The sequence below is a fragment of the Homo sapiens genome, chromosome 11, assembly GCF_000001405.40.
Source record: "Homo sapiens chromosome 11, GRCh38.p14 Primary Assembly".
Classification (NCBI taxonomy): domain Eukaryota; kingdom Metazoa; phylum Chordata; class Mammalia; order Primates; family Hominidae; genus Homo; species Homo sapiens.
The window spans coordinates 17,706,806-17,724,879 of NC_000011.10; the positions used below are offsets into that span (position 1 = coordinate 17,706,806).

At 52.4% G+C, this 18,074-nt stretch overlaps 1 protein-coding gene across 1 annotated transcript, besides 3 other annotated features; it reads left to right on the plus strand.

Annotated features, from left to right (window-relative positions):
- Nucleotides 7,847-8,347: an enhancer, noted in NCBI's record as "H3K4me1 hESC enhancer chr11:17736199-17736699 (GRCh37/hg19 assembly coordinates)". NCBI's record gives its function as "activates a minimal SCP1, AML or CMV promoter by ChIP-STARR-seq in naive H9 embryonic stem cells {active_cell/tissue: H9 hESC(naive)}" and the evidence as "EXISTENCE:reporter gene assay evidence [ECO:0000049][PMID:30033119]".
- Nucleotides 12,766-15,331, plus strand: MYOD1 (myogenic differentiation 1). The gene is made up of 3 exons (NM_002478.5): nt 12,766-13,607; nt 14,097-14,175; nt 14,450-15,331. The coding sequence occupies exons 1-3, from the start codon at nt 12,978-12,980 to the stop codon at nt 14,701-14,703; spliced, it is 963 nt and encodes a 320-aa protein (NP_002469.2). The 5' UTR covers nt 12,766-12,977; the 3' UTR covers nt 14,704-15,331.
- Nucleotides 13,715-14,226: an enhancer, noted in NCBI's record as "H3K27ac-H3K4me1 hESC enhancer chr11:17742067-17742578 (GRCh37/hg19 assembly coordinates)". NCBI's record gives its function as "activates a minimal SCP1, AML or CMV promoter by ChIP-STARR-seq in naive H9 embryonic stem cells {active_cell/tissue: H9 hESC(naive)}" and the evidence as "EXISTENCE:reporter gene assay evidence [ECO:0000049][PMID:30033119]".
- Nucleotides 14,227-14,738: an enhancer, noted in NCBI's record as "H3K27ac-H3K4me1 hESC enhancer chr11:17742579-17743090 (GRCh37/hg19 assembly coordinates)". NCBI's record gives its function as "activates a minimal SCP1, AML or CMV promoter by ChIP-STARR-seq in naive H9 embryonic stem cells {active_cell/tissue: H9 hESC(naive)}" and the evidence as "EXISTENCE:reporter gene assay evidence [ECO:0000049][PMID:30033119]".
- Nucleotides 15,332-18,074: the final 2,743 nt, after the last annotated feature.

Below are 18,074 nucleotides of genomic sequence, written 5' to 3' on the forward strand. Positions count from 1 at the left end.
CTTATATGTAAAAAGACAGATCAACCAATCACAATTGTGGTGCAGACCTGTTTGGATCCTGATTCAAACAAACAAACAAAATTTATGAGACAAATGGAAATCTGCCTGGATATTTGCTGGCATAAGGAATTACTATTACTTTTTCTAGTATGCTAATGATACTGTGCTTATGTTTTAAAAAGAAGTCCCTATGTTTTAGATATGCATAATCAAATATATACAAATGAAATTACAAGATGTCTGAAATTTGCTTAGGATATTGTGCTTATGTTTTAAAAGGCAGTCCTTAGGTTTTAGACATACATAATCAAATATATACAAATGAAATTATGGGATGTCTGAAATTTGCTTCAAAATCATACAAGGGGAAGAAGTAGGCAGGGCATTGACAGGTCGGGTTTGGACATGGACTAATGGTTATTGGAAGTGGTAATGGGGTTCACAGTATTATTGTGTCTATTTCTGTCAATGTTCAAAATCATTCATAAGAAACAGTGGGAAAGCTTTGGCTTGGAATGGAAGAAAAGGCAGGGAAAGGCCTGAAAGGATGGAGAGCAGCAAGGCCCCAAGACCAGATGTTTCTTTCTCCCCATGTTCTCCCCACCTCCCTGGCTCTCCCAAGTTCCTGGGACAAGCCCACTCTGAGCTCCCATCCCATGATAGCTAAGTAGGAACAGAGACCCAAGACCCCTGAGTCAAATGGGCCAGAGGTCAGAGGTCAGGGCAGAAACAGCCACCACTTGATCACGGAGAAACCAAATCAGCGCCAGCTCCTGGGGTCCTGTGTCTGCCTTTGTCCACCATTGGTGGGGATGTCCCTGCTTCAAAGGCATGAGGTGGTGGAAGTTCATCCTTGTTCCTTCAGAGATTCCTGGGCATAAAGGGGCCTGAAGAAGCCCATTCCCTGTTTCCAAGATCTGGGATTCAGAGTTAACCAGATATGTAGAAGCAAGAGATAAGCATTTCTGTCCCAGAACCTCCATATCTAAGCATATGTGAACCCTGGGCAAGTGGCTTACCCTCTCTGGGCCTCAGGTTCCAACACCATGCAACGAGGATAAATGCCACTGGTGTTGGGGCAGGGTGGGGACACTAGCTGCTGAAATGTGAACTCTGCTGGACCTCAGCCTTCTCTGGGGATGCCTTAGCAAAGAACTGCCTCCTTGGGCCTCCCCCAGCCCCTGGCCCTGGCCCTGCCTGCAACAGCCTGTCTGCATCTGTCATCGGCCTGCTCTGCTCCCCTCTGGCCAGGCTTTGTTTGGGAGTGGCTGGCAGGCTAGCCCGTGTGCATGGTGGAGGCAGTGATTCCTGCTGCTGCAGGCAACACTTCACAGGCTGCATCATCACCCACGCTTCCAGCCACCCCTAACCCCACCATGACCCCCAGTTCCAAGAGGTCCAGAGTCCAGAATAACTAGGCCAGGCTCCCAACTTCCTCATCCCCACCCCACCCACTGCTTGCCCATGGCTTCCATCCAAAGAGAGATCAAGCAAAGCAAGAATAATTCCCAAGCTCCTACTGTGCACCCTGAGACAGGCATGATGCAAGCACTGTGTATACCTTGACAACTGAACCCTTACATCCTCCGTAGGTGCTAGAACCAGTCACATTTGACAGCTGGGAAAAATGAGACACGGAGAGGGGAAGTGACTTACCCAAGGTAAGTAACGAGCAGACACAGCATTTGAATCCAGGTGTATTAGACTCCTAAGTCCAGTGGAGACACATGAGGAACATAGCCCCAGCACTGGTGGTCCAGTCTCCATGTTGGGCAAGCTCAGCACCATATTCTCCTAGGCCAAGTTCAGATGGACCCAGGCAAGTTGTGCTCCATCTTTGGGAGAAGCAAAGGACTATGATATTCATGGTCCCCCAGTGCTCCTTTGTGGGGACCCCCAAGTTAACTTCTTTCCAGTCTGGGGAGCAGGCTTCTGATCTCATGCTGGGCCCTCGCCTCACACAGCTTCTGCTTCACCCCAGAGCTGACTGTGTGGTGTTCCAGCCCTATGTGGGCCATGTGGATGGAGTCAGAGGATGGGCAGCTGCCCTCCTGCCCAGAGAAGGGAGGCCCAAGAGGGAGGTTGAGAAGACACGGAGAAGAAGGGACTCTGCAAGACCTCCTCATTCCTGAGTGTGTATGGAGTCAGGCATCCAACGCCTCCATCCTACATGTGAAGAAAGTGGGACCCAGGAGGGGACAGAGCTGAGAGAGGGTCACGCAGCAGGGTGCAGCACAGCGAGGTGAAAACCCTGGTCTTCTGGCTCTGGTCCGGGCTCTCTCCACTGTATGTAGTCTCTGACCTCTTACTGCAGTCCTCTACCCCTGCCATGACCTGTTGTCTTGCCTGGAAAACTGGTGGCTTCACCTCAGACAGAGCCCACTCACACCTCGGGGTGCCTGAAGCAACAGGTCTTAAATGATTCAAGCAACCCTGGATCCAGCGTCAGCCACCTGAGGAACATCCCAACACATGTCATGCCTCCGGGCCTTCACCCATGCTGTTCTGTAAGCCCGGAAAGCCTTTCCCTACAGCAGCCCCCCGACCCACTTTGGGCACTCCTATTCATCCTTCAGTAACCAAGAAGAAGGATAGCAATATTTCCTCCTTGGGGAACTCTTCTTGGGTGTCCACAAGAGAGTTCATTGTTCCCTCTTGGTGCTCCCCCAGGGTGTTTTGATTATTCATTTATGGATTGCTCTTTCCCCAATAGACAGAGCTCTTTGAGGCTGGGGATGCTGTCTGAATCATCCCTAGATCTTACTGCACCTAACCTGGGGCCTGGAAACAGGGTGGGTGTCTGGGGAATGCTTGAGGGGTTGGGGGAGGTTAGGCCTGTTGAGGCGCATGGGCCATAAATCACCTTCCCAAGCCAGGGGGAAAGCAGCAGTCCAGGAGAGCTTCACGGAGGTGGCAGGACGGGATGTAGGACGGAGGCAAACCATAGACTCGCAGGCGGTGAGGGCATCATTCATGAGACCTCTGCCCTCCGTTCTTCTGCCAGGAAACCCCTGTCCTGGGTGCTATTGGCCAGGGATAAGCAGATTTTGGAGGGGGGAATCAGGCTTCTTCAAGGCGTTAGGTCTCCACTCAGAGGTATGTGGCTGGGGCAGCTGCTGGGGGCTGCAGCTGGTGTCTGTCCCAGAGCCCAACGGCTGTGTGTGCCTTAATCCCAGTCCTTGGTGCCCCCCAGGCTGGCAGGTGGACTGATGAGGCAGAAAGGAGGCAACAGGAGAGGGGTGGAGAGCCGAGCCCCCTCTCCAGGTCCCCACAGCCGCCCTCTGGATCTTGCTACATGTGCCACCCCATCACCAGGTCCTCGTCACCAGCTATCCCCTCAGCCCTGAGCTGCTCCTCCCTCAGCCCTTAGAGGGAGGTCTGACCTCCTTGAGGTAGGAAGATTCAGCTTAAAAAGTTCAAACTGGAAAACACAAAGAAGAGATGGATGTCACGGCATCTGTGCCCCTTAGCGTCTTCTTTCTGAATGGGGCTGGGGATGTTTAGGCACATAGGTGGAGACAAGCATTCACACTGGGACTGAGGTGTGGACGTACCTAACTTAGAATATGAGCAGGTGGGACGCATCTGTGGTGTGCACATGGCATGTGAAGTGTGTGTGTTCTGTAGGTGAGGGGTGCACAGCATGGGAGGTATACGCATGTGTGAGGTGTGCATGGACTATGAAGCATGCACAGTATATGAGGTGTAATATGTGTGATATGCACATGATGTGAGAGAGGAAATATCCCATATGTGGGACATACTGCTGTTGGAGGTTTACATGGCATGTGAGTTTACATAGAGTGTCAAGTGTATCCGGAGTGTTAGGTGTACATGGCATGTAATGTGTAAACAATGTGAGACTTGTACATAGTATGTGAGGTAACATGGAGTGTGAGGTGTGTGTGTGTGTGAGGTGTACATGGAGTGGGATATGTACACAATATAAGAGATGTACCCAGTGTGTAACATATTCATGGAGTGTGAGGTAGACATGGCACAAGAGAGATACACACAGTGCTTGAGATATATGTGGTATGTGAGGTGTACAGAGAGGGTGAACTGTACATTATGTGAGAGGTGTGCAGTATGTGAGAGGTGTACAGTATGTGAAAGGTGTGCAGTATGTGAAAGATGCACATTATGAGAGAGGTAGATGGAGCATAAGGTGTACATTATGTGACAGGCATAGAGGGAACGTGAGCTGTACATTCTGTGAGAGGCACATAGGAATTGTGAGGTGTACACTATGTGAGAGGTATACATTATGTGAAAGATGTACATTATGAGAGAGGCTGCAGGCAGCATGTGGTGTACATCCTGTGAGAAGCGTGCAGGGAGTTTGTGGCGTGCGTTCTGTGAGAGGTGTGCAGGGAGTGTGAGGCGTGTATTCTGTGAGAGGCATGCAGGGAGTGTGAGGTGTGTATTCTGTGAGAGGCGTGCAGGGGGTGTGCGGCGTGCATTCTGTGAGAGGCATGCAGGGAGTGTGCAGCATGCATTCTGTGAGAAGCGTGCAGGGAGTGTGAGGCGTGCATTCTGTGAGAGGCGTGCAGGGAATGTGAGGCGTGCATTCTGTGAGAGGCGTGCAGGGAGTGTGAGGCGTGTATTCTGTGAGAGGTTTGCAGGGAATGTGAGGCGTGTATTCTGTGAGAGGCGTGCAGGGAGTGTGAGGCGTGCATTCTGTGAGAGGCGTGCAGGGAATGTGAGGCGTGTATTCTGTGAGAGGTGTGCAGGGAGTGTGAGGCGTGCATTCTGTGAGAGGCGTGCAGGGAATGTGAGGCGTGTATTCTGTGAGAGGTGTGCAGGGAGTGTGAGGCGTGCATTCTGTGAGAGGCGTGCAGGGAATGTGAGGCGTGTATTCTGTGAGAGGTGTGCAGGGAGTGTGAGGCATGCATTCTGTGAGAGGCATGCAGGGAGTATGTGGCATGCATTCTGTGAGAGGCGTGCAGGGGGTGTGTGGTGTGCATTCTGTGAGAGGTGTGCAGGGAGTGTGAGGTGTACATTATCAGAGAGGTGTACAGGGAGCGTGCACTGTATATTGTGTGAGAGGTGTGCACAGTGTAAGGTGAGCACTGTATGTGACTTGTCTGCAGTTTATCAGGTGCACATAGCTATGACACCACAAAGGCATATGGAAGAATGCAGGTGAGGACAAACTGTCCTTCCAAGAAAATGTGCTTGTCAGCTCTGTCCTGGGCTCACACTCTGGACGCATGGCACAACCTCCTGAGCAGTGTCACAGGCAGAGGAGACAGAGGGACGTCCTCTGGCTTTTCAGGAGTCCTTTTATACATAAAGGAGAAGGCAGCTTTGAGAGGCCTTCTCCTCCATCCTTCTGCCTGCATCCATACCACGTTAGCTCAAGGGCAATGTGCTCTTTGAGGAATACCATACGTTGGTAATATTATTTTTACATCTGACTTAAATCCCTCATGCTGCAAGTTGAATTCGCATTTTTTTGGTGCTTTCAAATGTGAAGGTAGTGAACTCTCCTTTCATGTAGACCTCCTCACCCCGGGAGCCTAATGTCTTTAGGCTAGAAGAATAATTAGCACCTTCATGAGCTCTGCCTGCTTGAACACTTCTAGTCATTAAGTTATTGTCACCTTATTTGTGTTGTTTAGTAAACAGCGCATGTGTATTTCAAACCCCAGGAATCTAGTCCCACAAAGACCCCAGGGCTCACCTCTGAGGCAGAGAAAGTCTTTAATTACATAAAGAATAAGCTTGAAGAAGAGAGGCTGGATGAATGAATGAACGCCTCAGGTCTTTCCAGAAGCCAGGCATCAGTGGGTTCTTAAGCCTGGCCTCAGCTTCCCCTACCTGGTGGGCAGTCTCAGCTCCTGCTATTTTCACTCATCTGGCTTCCTAGTGTCTGGGAAAGAACCCGGAGTGAGAGGCATTGTGAGGGCTGCATGGAATGTGAGGTGCACATGGCATGTGGGGCCTCGTGGGGGAAAGAGCTGGGCGGGCTGCAGGGAGGGTCCCCCCATAACACCAAGCTCACATGGGTCACATCCCATGCCCTTTAGCCTCTTCCCTGGGTAGCAGCCCACCCTCATCTCACATCCTGAATTGGGCTAAAGCTTAGTTCTAGATGAAGTTATAATTAAATTTAAAAATCACATCTAGAGAATTCCCTCTTAAATTTAAGTACTATGTCAGTTTTGGAGGGAGTTTTTATAAACCTATTGAAGAGGGGAATAAACAGCTCTAGCCTATTATGCCTAGTTCTTCAAGAATCTCTTGGTTTGTAAGATATTCTTTCATTAGAAGTAACAAATTGGCCAGGTGCGGGTGGCTCATGCCTGTAATCCCAGCACTTTGGGAGGCTGAGGCAGGTAGATCACCTGAGGTCAGGAATTCGAGAACAGCCTGGCCAACATGGTGAAACCCCATCTCTACTAAAAACACACAAAAAATAGCCAGACATGGTGGCTCGCGCCTGTTGTCCCAGCTACTCAGGAGGCTGAGGCACGAGAATCGCTTGAACCCCGGCAGCAAAGGTTGCAGTGAGCTGAGATCGCGCCACTGCACTCCAGCCTGGGCGACAGAGCGAGATTCTGTTTCAATTTTTTAAAAAAGAAGAAGTAACAGATTGCCCATCAAACCCCATGCCCAAACTCTATCTCGTGCCACCCCCACACCCCCCAGCCCCTACAGCTCCAGGAGCCATGCCTGTCTGTACCCACAGAATCCTCTGCTCCTAGCAGAAGCGATTGTCCCATAGAAGGTGCTCAATAATTATTTTGTTCTCTCTGCCGGGAGCATTCTTCCCCAGATGCCACATGGCTAACTCCCAAGCCTCTTTTAACTCTTTGCTCAAATGTTACCTTGCCAACCTGACCACTCTGTTTAACACTACAGCCGACCCCAACCTGGCACCTCAATCCTGCTCATCTTGTTCTGCTTGTAATATTTTTCTGCGTGTATCGCCTTCTAACATCTATATAATTTATTTATTATTATGTGTATTGCTTATTGTCTGCCCTGCCCTGCCCGCATGTCAGTTCCACAGGAACAAGGAACATGGTCTGTTTCATTCTCCATCACATTCCCAGCACCTGAATAAATGTTTGTTGTATAAGTGAATGAATCATAGACTGGACAACTGAGAGTGGGAATATCCCCACCACCCCAATAGTGCCCTGCCCCCACCCCCTGCACACTGGGTGGGAAGGGCACATGCTGTTGGTTGTCTTCCTGTTCCCTCCCTCCACAGTGTGGACTCCTGTTCTTCAACTCCCAGCTCAGCTGCCAGACTCCTAAGCCCTGCTTGTCTGTGGGAGGCTGGAGAGTACCCCCAAACGGGGAAATGTGGCCTTCTGTGAGGAATCTCTGGGACCCTGTCCCTAATCTGGGACCATGTCTATATCCTGGCAATATCACAGTCCCTCCTGACCAACCCAGACTGGGCCCAGAGAAGGATCTATACCCATGTGGTGGGTGGATTTTGGCTTTCCCAGGGAGCAAGTTTGTCAGGGGACAGAGGGAGGCACTCAGGTTGGACCCAGGAACAGGAAGGGAAAGGCTGGGGACAGAGAGGGGACCTGGAGCTGGCCCTGCCCCACCAGGCCCACTCATGCTTTTACCTTCTGGCCCTTTGGCGCCCCCCACCTCCCGGCCAGATACGCAGCCTGTGTCAGCCCCAGTGCAGAGCCACAGGCCCAGCCTGGGCAGGGGCAGGGTGCGTGAAGACTGGGGCAGGTGCAGGCTGGATTGGGTTTCCAGAGGCTATATATATAAAGGCTGCCGGGAGCCCCAGGGCCGCTCCCTGAGGGCACAACACTGTGGGGGCCCAGCCAGGCCCACATTCCTTTCCAGAGGCCAGCTCTCCATTTATAGCCCCTGGGCAGAGCAGCCAAGGGAGCTGAGAGGGGAGGACTGGAAAGGGCAGAGGGAGAAGGGGCAGCCCAGGCAGCACTCCCTCCCCACTCCCCACCAAATGAGCCCCTCATCATGAAGACAGCAGAAGCCAGGCCCAGGGCGAGGTGTGCACATGCCCCCAAGCACAGAGCCTACCATTCTGGTCAGACCTGCGTTGAGGGGTGAGGGGGCTGCCAGGGGATCCCCTCAAAGTCCCTCAGCCCATTGCTAGTGGCCCCTCACAGAACAAGTCCAGCACCTGTGGACAAAGGGCACCCTTGACTAGACTCTGCAGTATAAGAGTTTGAATGTTTTCAGCTTCCAAACTTGGTATCCTTTTTCCCTCCGCCCCCAACCCAGCACTGGGACTAAAAGGACAACATGTCCCAGGTTGGACATACTTCTCCCTGCTCTGTGGGCAGCAGGGAAGAGATGATGGTGTTGACAAACCTCTCTCCAAAGAGGAGACGCAACCAGAAGGGTGATTCCAGGCAGGTGTGGATGCCAGGCATGGAGAGGTCTGAAATGGTCACCGAGTTCAGTGAGTTCCAATCTTTTTTTGAGCAACGGAAGCCTGGTAGCAAACAAAAATCCCACTTGAAAGCCTAATATAAAAATGGCATTTTACCACTAGAATGTCTGTGTGCTTTAAAACAGCGCTTCCTAATTATGGAAGAAGATGTAGCTGCAAATCAAGCTTAAAACTGTCAAAGCAGTTTAGATTTATAAGCCATAAGTGATAAAATATTAAATGTGTTTGGTAAGTTCAAACATATAACATTTACTTATTTATTGTAAAGGCAACTTGATGACAGCCCTGAGGAAGTTTTTAGAAACACAAAGCACAAAAAGCAAAGTTGTATTCACTTGTCTCAGCATCCAATTTATTTTGTAGTTTCTTGCTTATTCAGATTTGGGGAAAATCTAGATTTGCATAGATAAGTGGTTTGAATAGCTCACCTGGGAATCTCAGAGTACTCTTTAATTAAGTAGACTCATTCATTCATTTGCCCAAGAAATATTTATTGAGTGCCTACTATGCACCTGGCTTTCTGCTGAGCCTTGAGCAAGTAGGAAGAAGTATTTGTTTCTAAATCATCAATACAACAATTACTTACATTCCTCATTGTGAGTATAGTGAAAAAACAATAAGAAGACACATCGAGATGCCAAATCTCTCTATAGTATACCACTACAATATTGCAGCATGCCATGTATAATGCCCAGTTCAAGAGAACATGCCCCAGGCAGATGGGGTCTGAGCCTTTCCTGGGAAGAGCAAGTGTAATAGAACATGGATGTCTAATCATGTATGTGACTTCCCAGTTTTGAAGAAATTCAACCATCTTCATTAATGTCACAGTTCAAGACATTCAAATATATGCATAGAGATGCAAAGGGCGTGAGGCCACTCATTCATTCACTGGACATTTATCAGGTGCCTACTGTGTGACTGCCACTGTGATGGTTTTTGGAAATGTCATTGTGAACAAAACATCTTTGCCTTCATGGGGCTAAGTCAGTCATGAACAAACTAATGAAGAAGATTATAAAGAGTGGCAGTGCCTGGAAGGAAATTAACAGGGTGGTGTGAACCAGAGTATGGGGGGCAGTTATCTTAGAGGGAATGGTCAGTGATGTCCCAAGGAGGCAAGAAGATCTATTATATAAAATGCAGTCAATCTTGGGAAAAGCCCAGGGGATAATGCTATGAGTTTAGAGCAGCAAGGACAAGGCTCCAAGGCAGGATCCTGTTCAGAGTGTTAGAAGACAAGAAAGGAGGTCAGGCTAACTGGAGTAGAGCAATCAAAACGGATGGTGCCTCCAGGTGTAGTAAGAGACACAGGCTGAGGCTAGCTCATGCAGGGCCTGATAGGCCAGGGGATGGAGATGAGATTTTACTCTAAATGCAAGAAGCTGCTGGGGAGTTTGAAGCAGGAGGATGGCATAATCCCATTTACATTGTAAAGGTCTACTCAGGCTGCTATGTAACGAATGGATTATACTGAGGCTACAGAGGAAGTGAGGAGGGCAGCCAGGTTATTGTGGTCATCCAGAGCAGCAGTGTGACAGCTTAGTCCAGGATGGTGACACTAGGGATGGACTGACTTGAGACAGGTCTTAGAGGTAGAATGGACAGCTCTTCCTCATACTCAGACCTCTCCTTGGGAACTCCAGCCTTAAAAATCCCCCTGCCTAATCCACACTTCCATCTGGATATCCGATATGCATTTCAAATTTTGCCCAAACCTGGACACTTAATCTACCACCCACAAACCTAGTCTTCTCAACTCCATTCTTGCAGGAGTCATCCTTAGCTCCTTGCTTATCTCACTTCCCACATGCAATCGTGAGTAAATACTGCTAGCTCCATCTTGAAAACATATATCTAGAATTCAACCACCACTTTTCACCAGCTCCACTCACTGGGATTATTGCAATAGCCTCCTAATTGGTCTCCCTCCTTCTGCCCTTTCCCTCCAGTAACCAGCATGCTCCTGTTAAAATGTAAATCAGATAGTGATATTCTTCTCTTCCGCTCAAGCCCTCCAGTGAGATGGCTCAAGCCATCTCAGAATATAATCCTGTTTCTCTCTCTCTCACCCCATTTCCCACTATCTCTTTTACTCACCCTGCTGCAGACATATGAGCCTCCTTGCCATACTTTGAATCTGCCAAACATGGTCCTGCCTCAGGACTTTTGCACATGCTTATCCCTCTATCTGGCCCTACATATCTCCAGGTATCTGCTTCCAATTCTCTTCATTCAGGTCTCTGCTTAAATGTAGCAGAGAGGCCTTCTCTAATCACTCCATAATCTTCATCACTGTGTCTCCCTGCCTTGCTTTTTCTTCATAAGGCTTCTAACCTCCTGGCATCACATACTTCCTTGCTTATTTGTTCATTGTCTATCACCCTGCTTACATTGACAATGTAAGTGCCATGTAAGCAGAGTCTTGGTTTTGTTCATTGCTCTAGCCCCACACTTGGACTGGTACCTGCCACATAATGGATACCTAACAATATGTGGATTTCCGGGTGACCCCCTGCAGCTTGGGTGGGGTGAGGCCAGGACTTTGCTGCCTCTGCCAGGATTTAGAGTTACTGTCACTGCTGCTCCATGATGTAGACTTTACTGAATGAACAAATACAGGTGGGCCCTATGGAGTAAAGCGAGGTGAGTACTTCATGAAGGGAGACCTTCAGCACCACTACCAGCAGCAGAGAAGTGAAGAAGTTAGGACCCCAACAGAGCCCTCTGAGTTTTGTGGGAAGGGAGGACTTCTTAGGGCCCAGAACGGCCAGCTAGAATGCCTTCCAGAAGTTAGTGGGAAAGGCACAAAGATCACTCCTGCTTAAATTTCTGGTTTCCAGGAGGGGAGATCCAGGCAGGGATGTATGGCCAACGGAGATTCCTAGCCAGAGTGCTGAGAGGACTGTGTGAACTGCAGATTCAGGAAGAGGCTGAGAGACCCCCATGGGGGTGGCCGGTATGCTGAGGCTTGTATGGGAGCCAGATATCCCACATCCCATGGGGTGGTTGCCTCCTCCTGTTTCCAGCCTTTCCAGTGAGGCTGCAGGAAAGAGACACAGCTAAGGCCTGGAGACTCGTGGCACTCCGTCAGGGCATGGTACCACAGATGAGTTGTAAGCCTGCGGGACACAGCATCCAACTCTGAAAGCCCCTTGCTCGAATAACCCTACATCACCGCCTGAGGGCTTCCATATCCTTGGTCTCTTCAGACTGTCATCCCCACCACAATTACTCCAAGAAATTACTGTCATCCCCAAATCTATAACTGGAAACTGAGGCTCAGGAAGGAGACATGACTTCCACAAAATCACACAGTTGGGAAACTCTGGAGTCTGCACTCAACTGGTCTGCAAACCGCACTCTCGGAGACTTCAGGTGAGATGAGGTCAGGTTCTCAGGCCAGGTCCTGAAGTTTGACACCTTGGCGAAATGCACTTTCCTTGACTCAGCACCGCGAGTGAGGCGGAGCCAAGCCCCGAGCAGAAGGGTTTTCTTCCCAGCTGAAGAGGCAGCTCAGCCTAGACCCCAGGCATGGCACTGGACACCCCTGCTGTGGAAACGTGCAGATTTAGATGGAGGGGATTCCTAACCTGGGCAGGATCCGAGTTTGGAGAGATTGGCGCGAAGCTTTAGCAGCAATCTCCGATTCCTGTACAACCATAGCTGGGTTTCTAAGCGTCTAGGGAAGAAGGACTGGGCCCACGACCTGCTGAGCAACTCCCAGGTCGGGGACTGGCGGAATATCAGAGCCTCTACGACCCGTTTGTCTCGGGCTCGCCCACTTCAACTCTCGGGGTCTCTCCGCCTGTTGTTGCACTCGTGCGTTTCTCTGCCCCTGACGCTCTAAGCTTTCTGCTTTCTGCGTGTCTCTCAGCCTCTTTCGGTCCCTCTTTCACGGTCTCACTCCTCAGCTCTGTGCCCCCAATGCCTTGCCTCTCTCCAAATCTCTCACGACCTGATTTCTACAGCCGCTCTACCCATGGGTCCCCCACAAATCAGGGGACAGAGGAGTATTGAAAGTCAGCTCAGAGGTGAGCGCGCGCAGCCAGCGTTTCCCGCGGATACAGCAGTCGGGTGTTGGAGAGGTTTGGAAAGGGCGTGCCGGAGAGCCAAGTGCAGCCGCCTAGGGCTGCCGGTCGCTCCCTCCCTCCCTGCCCGGTAGGGGACCTAGCGCGCACGCCAGTGTGGAGGGGCGGGCTGGCTGGCCAGTCTGCGGGCCCCTGCGGCCACCCCGGGGACCCCCCCAAGCCCCGCCCCGCAGTGTTCCTATTGGCCTCGGACTCCCCCTCCCCCAGCTGCCCGCCTGGGCTCCGGGGCGTTTAGGCTACTACGGATAAATAGCCCAGGGCGCCTGGCGAGAAGCTAGGGGTGAGGAAGCCCTGGGGCGCTGCCGCCGCTTTCCTTAACCACAAATCAGGCCGGACAGGAGAGGGAGGGGTGGGGGACAGTGGGTGGGCATTCAGACTGCCAGCACTTTGCTATCTACAGCCGGGGCTCCCGAGCGGCAGAAAGTTCCGGCCACTCTCTGCCGCTTGGGTTGGGCGAAGCCAGGACCGTGCCGCGCCACCGCCAGGATATGGAGCTACTGTCGCCACCGCTCCGCGACGTAGACCTGACGGCCCCCGACGGCTCTCTCTGCTCCTTTGCCACAACGGACGACTTCTATGACGACCCGTGTTTCGACTCCCCGGACCTGCGCTTCTTCGAAGACCTGGACCCGCGCCTGATGCACGTGGGCGCGCTCCTGAAACCCGAAGAGCACTCGCACTTCCCCGCGGCGGTGCACCCGGCCCCGGGCGCACGTGAGGACGAGCATGTGCGCGCGCCCAGCGGGCACCACCAGGCGGGCCGCTGCCTACTGTGGGCCTGCAAGGCGTGCAAGCGCAAGACCACCAACGCCGACCGCCGCAAGGCCGCCACCATGCGCGAGCGGCGCCGCCTGAGCAAAGTAAATGAGGCCTTTGAGACACTCAAGCGCTGCACGTCGAGCAATCCAAACCAGCGGTTGCCCAAGGTGGAGATCCTGCGCAACGCCATCCGCTATATCGAGGGCCTGCAGGCTCTGCTGCGCGACCAGGACGCCGCGCCCCCTGGCGCCGCAGCCGCCTTCTATGCGCCGGGCCCGCTGCCCCCGGGCCGCGGCGGCGAGCACTACAGCGGCGACTCCGACGCGTCCAGCCCGCGCTCCAACTGCTCCGACGGCATGGTAAGGCCGGGACCCCAGGAAGTGAGGAAGTTAGGGCGGCGCTCGGGATATCAGGGACGCGTTTCCGAGGGCGGGGAGCTGGCCTTGCGGGAGGTTTGGGCCAGGATCCTTCCCGAGAGAGAGGACCCCCTTGTCCTGGGCAGCTGTCACTGGGGTAGCCTGTTTTGGAAGTGTGCGGGCAAGCGTTCGAGCTGCCCCATTGGGGGCGCTATTAGAACACTGCAGCGCGAACGTGAAGATCTTTTTCTCTACTTATCCCTACTTCCAAAATGTAAATTTGCGCCCCTTGGTGACTGTCCGCCCTTGGTTTGGCCCTGCATGTTGCAGACCTCATCTCCTACCCACCCGTAATTACCCCCCCAACCAGGACAGGTCTGGGCCCGGAACTAGAGCCTTAGGCTAGAGTTAGGGAGGGGGCGGCTACAGGAATTGGTGTTCGGGCCTCGAGCCGTCCCGCGGGCCTGACTCAGTCGCCCTTGCTGTTTGCAGATGGACTACAGCGGCCCCCCGAGCGGCGCCCGGCGGCGGAACTGCTACGAAGGCGCCTACTACAACGAGGCGCCCAGCGGTGGGTATTCCGGGCCTCTCCCTGCTCGCTCCTCCTCCTTCATGGAGCTGTCCTGGCCTCTATCTAGGACGCTCCCACCCCCACTCACACACGCCTATGTCCTGGGAAGTGGTGCAGGAGATGAAATACTAAGCAAGTAGCTCCCTGTCTTTTGGATTGTCCCGGACTCTAACTAAAGTCCTCAGTTTCCAATCTGTCTCAAAGTACTGGGCCCGGGGGTGGGAGGCTTGTCGCGGCCCCACCCCTGCTTACTAACCGAGCCCTCCCCGCGCAGAACCCAGGCCCGGGAAGAGTGCGGCGGTGTCGAGCCTAGACTGCCTGTCCAGCATCGTGGAGCGCATCTCCACCGAGAGCCCTGCGGCGCCCGCCCTCCTGCTGGCGGACGTGCCTTCTGAGTCGCCTCCGCGCAGGCAAGAGGCTGCCGCCCCCAGCGAGGGAGAGAGCAGCGGCGACCCCACCCAGTCACCGGACGCCGCCCCGCAGTGCCCTGCGGGTGCGAACCCCAACCCGATATACCAGGTGCTCTGAGGGGATGGTGGCCGCCCACCCGCCCGAGGGATGGTGCCCCTAGGGTCCCTCGCGCCCAAAAGATTGAACTTAAATGCCCCCCTCCCAACAGCGCTTTAAAAGCGACCTCTCTTGAGGTAGGAGAGGCGGGAGAACTGAAGTTTCCGCCCCCGCCCCACAGGGCAAGGACACAGCGCGGTTTTTTCCACGCAGCACCCTTCTCGGAGACCCATTGCGATGGCCGCTCCGTGTTCCTCGGTGGGCCAGAGCTGAACCTTGAGGGGCTAGGTTCAGCTTTCTCGCGCCCTCCCCCATGGGGGTGAGACCCTCGCAGACCTAAGCCCTGCCCCGGGATGCACCGGTTATTTGGGGGGGCGTGAGACCCAGTGCACTCCGGTCCCAAATGTAGCAGGTGTAACCGTAACCCACCCCCAACCCGTTTCCCGGTTCAGGACCACTTTTTGTAATACTTTTGTAATCTATTCCTGTAAATAAGAGTTGCTTTGCCAGAGCAGGAGCCCCTGGGGCTGTATTTATCTCTGAGGCATGGTGTGTGGTGCTACAGGGAATTTGTACGTTTATACCGCAGGCGGGCGAGCCGCGGGCGCTCGCTCAGGTGATCAAAATAAAGGCGCTAATTTATACCGCCGTGGCTCCGGCTTTCCCTGGACATGGGTGTGGGATCCGGAGGAAAATCCGCAAACTGGGCCAGCTGTCCCTCAGCGACGCCTGTAGGCGGCAGGCGGATTGCAAGGAGGAAGCCTGCTGCCTGGGGAAGGAAGGAGGGGTGCAAATTTCTCCAGTACGTGAGGAAGTTCCTCTGACCTTGACTACATTACTACACACGTCCGTGGCTCTTATGGAAGGGTACACAGGTTGATATGAGTATTTTTTAAACCCATGTCTGAGCTCGCCCCCTAGATATTCTGATTTAATGTTTCTGCCCCATATACCCAGGGCCAGGTATTGGTATTTTTTTTCAAAAGCTCCCCAAGTGATTCTGAAGTTCATTCAAGGCTGAGAATCATCCCCTCCATATAAAGTGAGTGAACCCAGGTGTGATAACCAGAAGAACCACGGGAAGGTTGTGGCCCAGGCATCACTTGGGGGCCTCGTTGGGTATAGAGGATGTGATAGGGTGCCCACAGCATTCCGAGGAAGATCTAAATGAGTGTAGACATGTGCTGTAAGCTCTCTGGCACTTACAGCCCATTAGTAATAGGTGTAACTGCAAAGAGATAGCATAGAAGGCCAGACAGGCACAGACACCTCTACCCAGCACCTAGAGCATCCCGACACTATCAGATTCCATAAGACAACAGGAGCCCGGATCCTGTGAGCAGAGCGGCATGTGGGCCAGCATCATCACAGATGGCATAGGTACTCTTCATCAGGCTATAAACTCTCTGAGAGCAGAGGAGGGGGCATTTATTTAGCCTGAGTGTTGGGGAGGGCTTCCCGGAAGAGTTGTCATTTGAGCTCTGTCTTAAGAAACAAGAGTAGACAATGTACTCACAATGCACACACACACACACGCACACACACACACACAGGTACCTGTGCCCTCCCCTGGGTCCAAGGCCCCTGAGGGATGGTCTGGCAAGGGTTCTTCCCCACTCACTTACCACCTCCCCACCCCCAACACACGCGTGCCATGAGGACCTCAGGACCTCCTACATCCCACCCCATATATGTTGTTCCTGAAAACCCTACAGGCCCACTTTCAAGGGTTTTGTTTGCCAAGTAGGGGGCCCTCAGGAATGCAGGCAAGATGTGATGCCAGAAGGAATATCCGAATATCCTCATTACCTGTCTGAGGATCCATTCTCTGCTCTCCCCAACACAGGGTGCCTAGGAAGCTGCCCAGAGCTGTTGTGTTACGAATGATCCTCCACTTGTCTTCTGGCCACTTCCCCACATGTCCCTTGGGATTCTTTATACCCTTGAGACCCCCTGGGGTCCATTCATGAATTCATTGATTCCACAGATGCCAGGTCTTATGCTGGGTGAAAACAGAGACTGTTGGATGCAGTTCCCGCCCTTGGGAAGCACACAAACATTTGACTAGGATGGAACCTTTTAGCAGCTGGTTACATCCTGTTGAATTAAGTACTGTACTGGAGGTGCATGTAGCAGGGGAACGCCATAGAAGCAAAGGGGAAGGTTCCCTAACTATTCTGGGGGAGATATAGACAAACAGGTAAACTTTAATGAGAATCTTGAAGGAGTTGGTCAGGAAAGAGGGGCCAAAGAAAGGGGCTACAAGCTGAGGAAACAGCAGGTGCAAAGATCCAGGGGTGAGAGAAAGAAAACTGCCTTTGTGGAACTGCAGGTGCCCATGGGGAGGGGCCAGAGGAAGATGGAATGGCAGAGGCAGGACCACAATGGACCTCATCTGGACTTTATCTCGAGGGCAGTAGGGAGCCACACAGGAATTTAAACAGGGGAAGGATACAAATAATTCTGTATTTTAGAAAGGCCAGTTTGGGCTAGCAGAATAGGTAGGAGAGAACAAGACTTGAGACAGGGAGATCTTTCAGGAAGCCACTGGGGTTGCTTAGAGGAGGTATGACATATCCTGAATTGGCTTGGGCCAAATAATGTGTCAGTGTTGAGGGTACAGCAGAGAACATTGAAGGCACAGTCTCCACCTTCCTACAGCTTAAAATCCACTGGGGAAGTAACCGTGAGATGAAGAACCAAGTGAATAAATACAATGTTATAAACGATGAGAAACACCGTAAGGAAAGGCAACAGGTGTAAGCAGAGGTGGTAATGCGGAGTGAGAAGGCAAGCAGGTCGACAGAGGAGGCAGAAGTTCTGCACCAAGGGAAGCAATTCTATACATGAAGAGGGTCCCAGTATCCTAGAGGGGGTCTGTGTGTAATTAGAAAAAAGTACCCCTTCTCTCCTGGGGCATTGCCCTGCACCAGGGATCATGACTAGGCAGGCAGAGAGCAGGCTGGACTTCAGCCCCCACTCACCTCCTCAGCTGGGTGCACTTCTGTAGTGACAACCTGCATAACTTCACAGTGCCTTGTGCGTGTAGGCCCTAGAAAGTGTAGAGAAGGGAGGAGCCTTGGATGACTCCAGGCTCTGGTTTGCTTCTGACTTGAGGCCGTGATTTGCTTCTGAGTAAGTGGTGGTGCCATTACACAGATAGGGACCTCAGGAGGAGAAGCAGGTATGGTGACACATCTAGTGTAGAATACTTCGTGACAGAAACCTTATTCAAACTAGCCTAAACCCCACAAGAGGGTGTGTTGGAAGTTCACGGGGCAGCTCATATCTGGAAGTAGAGCTATAAGCACCACGGCATCTATGCACCTTGGGAGCTAGAGCTCCTCTCACACTTCTAGGCTGTCCACTTCATGTCTCTGCTTGGCTTCACT

Coding starts and splice junctions, on each gene's coding strand:
- MYOD1 (NM_002478.5), top strand. CDS start 12,978: ATGGAGCTACTGTCGCCACCGCTCCGCGACGTAGACCTGACGGCCCCC. Junction 13,608..14,096: donor CCAACTGCTCCGACGGCATG/GTAAGGCCGGGA, acceptor TGCTGTTTGCAG/ATGGACTACAGCGGCCCCCC. Junction 14,176..14,449: donor CTACAACGAGGCGCCCAGCG/GTGGGTATTCCG, acceptor CTCCCCGCGCAG/AACCCAGGCCCGGGAAGAGT.